Raw genomic sequence first — 6532 nt, forward strand, 5'->3', positions numbered from 1 at the left:
GGCTCACACCTGTAATCCCAGCACTTTGAGAGGCAGAGGCGGGGGAACACAAGATCAGGGGATGGAGACCATCCTGGCTAACATGGTGAAACCCCGTCTCTACTAAAGATACAAAAAAATTTGCCAGGCGTCGGGGTGGGAGCCTGTAGTCCCAGCTACTCGGGAGGCTGAGGCAGAAGAATGGCATAAACCCGGGAGGCGGAGCTTGCAGTGAGCTGAGATCACGCCACTGCACTCCAACCTGGGTGACAGAGCAAGAATGCGGCTCAAAAAAAAAAAAAAAAGTGCATGAGCTAATTTAGATTAACATTTCATCAGCACCTACTACAAACAGGACACTAGAGTGTACTATTTTATACCTACATTTACACCTGCATTAAATCTTCATAATAACCCTCCGAATTAGGTATTTTTGTGCCTACTTTACAAATATGGCAATTGAGGATCAGAAAAACTAAGTAACTTGCAAAAGGTCTTCAATTAATCACTGCGGAAACCCACAAAAAAGAGAAATGTATTTTCACATGGAAGATTTTGCAGGAGGCTAAGCAAAATCATGTGTTAACATATCATAATTTTTTTTAACGTAGTACTGGTTTGGGGGCTGGCTCATAGAACAAGCTTTTAAAACGCAATGGAAAAACTCTCCATTCCTTTAGTGCAAGTATTTTTAAAAATGCAGTCAAGGATCACATGTATCAGAATCTCCTAGGATGTTTATTAAAAATGCAGATTCTTGAATTTCTAGAGCCAAAATCTGTATGGAAGGGGCCAGAAGCCTGAATGTTAGCAAATTCCCAGGTGAACCCAGTGCTGTTATGTCTGAGAAGCTCAAGTTTCTTGAATCTGGGGCAGTGTGGTGTACAAAAAAAAAATATAAAGTCAGAAAGACAGGTTTCAAACCTTGCTGCACTGTTTAATACTAAGCTTGAGTAAGTTATTTAACCTCACAGTAAACAGAAAGTTAGTACCCAATTTAGAGTAAAATAATGTATGTAAAAGCACCCACACAGTACAGTATATAGAGATGGAAGGTATTTAATAAATGATCATTATTATTTTCAAAAGTAAACTAAAACCCCTAACCTTGCTCCATGTTCCCCCTAGCCATCAACCCCATTTTCTCTGTCAAGGTAGTTATCTGCTCAAACTGCAAACTACAAGCGACCTTCTAACCCTCAGCTCCTCTGAAACTGCTTGTAACCACCATTAAAATGACAAATGCAATAAACAATATTTAGTCCTCATCTTTATTGAATTCTCATCTCTACCTAGTTCCTAGGACCACTCACCTTTTTTGAAATTCTAACTTCCCTTGACTTCTGTAACACTTCACTCTCTCAATCTTTTTTCTGATCCTTTACAATTTAAAATGTTGGAGTTCATCTAAGTTTCATCTTCGGCCTTTTTTGTTTCTCAAGCTGATCTACTTACTACCCACGCACTTTGTGCAGTTCCATCTCCTGCCACTGTTATTCACTATTGATACTCTGATAACTCCCATATCTTTACAACTGCAATCTTCCTATACGTATATTCCCAGTGCCTCCTGAGCTTCTCTACCTGGATCTAAAGCCCCCACATTCTAAAGCCCCCTCAAAAATCAATATAGTAAAACTTATTCTCTGTCCAATCTCAATCTCCTCCTCCCACTCCCAACTCCAGACAGTGGAGAAAACCTGCTCCTTCTCTAGAATTTCCTATTTCACCATCAACTAGGTACCACAAGTTACGGTCATCAAGGTTCTTCCCTCTACTTGTGTTTTTCAGATTTTTTCATAGTTTTTTTTTTTTAAGAATGTTTGACACATTCCATTAAAAAAATGGCCCATCATAAAAGACTTCAAAAGGTAAGTAGAACTGCTTGCTTCATGTATTAAGTATTTCCACAACTAAAAGTTTGAAACTTTTGTACCATATTGTTATCTCTGGAAGAGATGGGATTAAGCTCTATTACTTCATACCTCATATATTTCTTTACTGTTTGAATTTTTTGTAATGAGCATATATTAATTGTATAGTAAAAATGAACTATTAAAAACCTAACAGTGTTTAAAACATATGGAGGCAATGACTTAGCTTCTGCAAACTGTCAACCTTAGACAACTATGAGAGAAACGGGACTTGATGGAACTCTCTTCTCAGTAAACACCAAGTTTTCGTCCCAATTTTGTGGCAGAGAAGTTGAAATAAAGTTAAACCTCTAAATACAAAAAGGTTTATTACAGCAGTGAAGAGTAATATTAAAGGGGCCTGGTACGGTGGCTCATGCCTGTAATTCCAGAAACTGGGGGGGGCTGAGGTGGGAGGATCACTTGAGCCCAGGAGGTCAAGATCAGCCTGGGCAACATAGTGAAATCCGGTCTCTACAAAAATTAAAAGAAATTAACTGGGTGTGGTGGTGTACATCAGTAGTCCCCACCTACTCAGGAGGCTGGATTGGAGGATCGCTTGAACCCATGAGTTTGAGGCTGCAGTGAGCTGATCACACCACTGTACTCCAGCCTAGGTAACAGAGACTGTCTCTAAAGAAAGAAAAGGAAAAAAAGAAAAAAACTGATAAATGTTAACAGTTTTGGAGAGTCAACAGTTCCAGAATTTACATTGCACCACTAAGCTACAAAATAATTTCCCTAAGTATAAGATGTTTAAATAGGTTATATTTATGCCCAGTCTTATAACCACTTGAGCAAAATCCCATATATCTTGTAGCATAAGGTACCTTGAAATTCAGTCATTCTGGGAAAATCCAAGGCTACTATAGTATATGAGTAGTAAAAATTCTCAACCTACTTGGCTCAAGCAACATTTTCCACACCAGTCCTATGAAGTGTTTCCTCACCAGTCCTATCAAGTATTTTTTTTTTTTTAGTCACCACTATGCTAACGAGAAAATAACTCTTAAACTAAAAGTGGAGACACCTGAACTACTCAGCAAATAAATGCCCCACCATAGAGTCCTTTAGAGCTTTTTATTCTTCTGTTTAAGGGTATTTTGCTTTCAATTATCATCAATGAGTTTCACGCATATAAACAGAAAAAGTGAAGGTAACACTCTAGTCTCCAGGTGACCTTTGACAAATAATCAGTAATCAATGTTTCTTGAACTGAAGATAATTTTATTAAACACCAAGAGAATATAAGCAGCAATCGAAACATTCTTAAACTGAAGTTAAAAGGCCTCAGTGGCCAGGCGTGGTGGCTCACGTCTGTAATCCCAGCACTTTGGGAGGCCGACATGGGCAGACTGCTTGAGTCCAGGAGTTCAAGACCAGCCTGGGCAACATGGCGAAATCCCGTCTCTACAAAAAATACAAAAAGTAGCCAGGTGTGGTGGCATGCACCTGTAGTCCCAGCTACTGCAGGGAGGGGAGGAGAGGTAGGAGGATCGCTTGAGCCTAGCAGGTTGAGGCTGCAGTAAGCCTAGATCACGCCACTGCACTCCAGTCTGGGTGACAGAGTGAGACCCTGTCTCAAAAAAAAAATAAAATAAAAGGCCTCAGTGTAATAAATTGTTAATGTGTATCTTCTTGAGCTCCTGTAAGAAAAGGGTCTTTGTTTAGTTCACTGCTATATCCCCCAGCCCCTCACAGTGGCACATGCTAAGAGCTCAATAAATGTACTGAATCGATTAATGAAAGAAATTCCATTTAAAAATCAAAAATAAAGGCACAGTCATAGAGTTAAAAAGGAATGAGTCATTAAATCCAACTTCCCACCCCAAATAGAATTTCCTCCTTTCAACATTTTGCCATTTCAACCACTTCTAGGGACAAGGAGTTTATGAAATTTTTAGACAGTCTATTCCAATGATGGAACAATCCCAAACCCCTTGCCTCTATTTCTCCCTCCACTTCATGCCACGTTTAAGGTAGTAATCTCCAAAACTGGATGCATATATCCTAAAGTATTATCAGATGATTCATAAGGATGTGAGAGGAAAATGAGACATTCTATATTAAATTTTCCAAATTTAGATTGAAAAGTTGTACTTATATTTAATATACAAATGGGCACTGGCACCTTCCTTCAAGCCACATATCAAACTGGTACAAAGAGAAAACTAGTAGTTCCACAACAGAGAAGGATTAAGAGTGGTGCCCTCAGTTGGATGTTCCTTCCACTTCTGCACACTGAAACATTTCCACATACATTCTATAGAATAAAACCAGACCTTTAAACAGTAGAATCTTTGTAAAGAGAAAGTGAATGGCAATTACCTTCTGGTTTCCTGGTTTCTCCTATGGCCAAGTGTTTAAGGGTTGGATTTAAAGATAAGCATTTTCCTTTTACACAGAGAAGAATTCTCCACTGACTATTTATGTATTTATGACAATGACTATCAGTAGTACATGCTACCTAGCAGATATTTTCCAAAAAACAAAACATACTTAATCTGTCTTTTCAAAATAAAGATAGCACTTTAATAATGAGTAAGAAAGCAACCACTTTTCAAAGACTACTTGTACTATGAGGAGAACATTTGAAAAACTGTATTTGGAAATGTTTCCATTGTTCCATGATTTTGTTGCTGAAAACAATGTCTATTAAAAACATTGCTTATTTTTTAAGTCATTATCTATATAGTTTACAAAATGTTTAAAAACATGAAAAGACTATTCCAACCAATCTAAGTCTTCTGAACAAAGAGCTTGAAAAACTGAATTTTAAACCTAATTGTGTGTATATATGCAATGTCAATTAGCCATAATAGAAAAACTAATTGAGATCAGGAATGAAAGGAATGTCATTGCTGAGTTCAACAAAATTCTTTGCATAATTGATCATTTAGAATTGAAACAGTAGGAGTACAGCAATTCTTCAATTAGCATCAGTTTTTCCATTAGGATCTGTGAATCTCCGAAGGTACCTTTTTTTCAGTCATGTAAGTCATTAAAATCAAGTATCTGGCTGGGTCCTATGGCTCATGCCTGTAATCTGAGCACTTGGGAGGCAGAAGTGGGAGGACCACTTGAAACCAGGAGTTCAAGACCAGCTTTGGCAACAAAGCAAGAGAATGAATCCTCTACCAAAAAAAAAAAAAAAAAAAAATCAAGTGTGAAAATAAACTGAATTTGGAATCAGAACTCTGAACAGCTGTATCTAAGGGTCACACTAAGATTTATCCTAACCATCAACACAGCACATGAAAATAAATCAGCAACAGCAAATGTTTACTGGATGCTTTGACATTATCATTTTAGTTTACAAAACCCGCCCATCAAGAACAAAACATCATCCTCAGATTAAGTTTAGTAATAAATCATTTTGCCAATGATTCTGAACTCAAACTATAAAATTCAAATATCACTACCTCTGATTTCCCATAAGGACTAAATAAAACCTCACAAATGAAAGTGCCTAGTACAATGCCTGACATAAATACATACTCAATAAACATTAACTGCCTTTCTTTTGATCTTAGGCCATGTGATGTAATACTTGCTAGATGTGTGATGGGGCAAACTGCTTAACTCCATCTGTAAAATGGAAATATTAATGCCCACCTTATAGGGTTAAAGTCATTAAAGGATAATGCATACAAAGCCCTTCCACCCACAAAAGGCATTAATAAATCCTGAACCCTCTTTTTTCAAGATAACCTATTCATAACTGTATCAAAAGTATAGAATCATGGGTTGTTGAATTCAAAAATATCCTTCAGAATCCCTATCTTTTGGAAGAATTACAGGAATACAATACCATAAGACGGACGACACAGAGATGAAGTGTGTGCTCCATTAGTGTTTACTGAACTCAGGTGAATTGCTAAGTCCATTATCACTCGGCTAATTGTGGCGGTCTGGAGAGTCTCTCCAGGGGTAGGACTCTCACCTCCTGGTGAGCGACTGGGTCTTACTGCTCTCAAACCAGGGCTCTTTCCACTATCTTGTGTCCTCTCCCTAGTTTATGTCAGGTACATACTGATAAAATTATATACTGATTTATAGTCTCTAGCACAAATTCGCTTAAGGGTCATAATAAGGTATTTCCATAATTTAAGATTTTCTGTGGCTAAGGAAGTAAGGGTTGGGCAAAGGGTAGAAGTCACTCTATTCCTGTCAAACCCAAAAGTGAATATACTTTAAGTAAAATGCTATGCATTGAACACACAAATGCAGGTACGACTGCATGTGGTGAGTCGAAATTCAGATGAAGCACCTGTATAGCAATGAGTGAATTCACAGCCTCTAGATGACAAGTAGAAGGCAGGTTTTAAAATGTCTGAAAATTGCAACTTCAGCGCTTTTGCAACACCTGCTTTTACGATCTGTCACGTGGAGCAAAGAGGCATAACTCAACAGCACTACTAGGGCCAGACGACCATTCACAGGCTGGATACACAAACCTATCTTGTAAACATATAATCAAGCAAAAGCAGGCAAACCGGCACAAGAGGCCTTCACCTAACTTTCTTCCAGATGGCAAACGCTGCACGATGACAAACAAGGCAAACATGGTGCGCAAGCAGCCAACCCAAAACAAATAACTAGGGATTCTGACATCCAAAGGTCCTCTTCATCCTTAATCC

General features: G+C 38.2%; 1 protein-coding gene across 1 annotated transcript in view, besides 1 other annotated feature; it reads right to left on the bottom strand.

Moving 5' to 3' along the window:
* ATG2B (autophagy related 2B) overlaps window positions 1–6532 on the bottom strand; it is an 84147-nt gene that overhangs the window by 76708 nt on the left and 907 nt on the right. The window lies entirely within an intron of this gene.
* Window positions 5999–6068: an enhancer, noted in NCBI's record as "active region_8985". NCBI's record gives its function as "activates an Ori minimal core promoter by ATAC-STARR-seq in GM12878 lymphoblastoid cells {active_cell/tissue: GM12878}" and the evidence as "EXISTENCE:reporter gene assay evidence [ECO:0000049][PMID:35858748]".

The sequence above is a fragment of the Homo sapiens genome, chromosome 14 (genome assembly GCF_000001405.40).
Source record: "Homo sapiens chromosome 14, GRCh38.p14 Primary Assembly".
Lineage (NCBI taxonomy): Eukaryota > Metazoa > Chordata > Mammalia > Primates > Hominidae > Homo > Homo sapiens.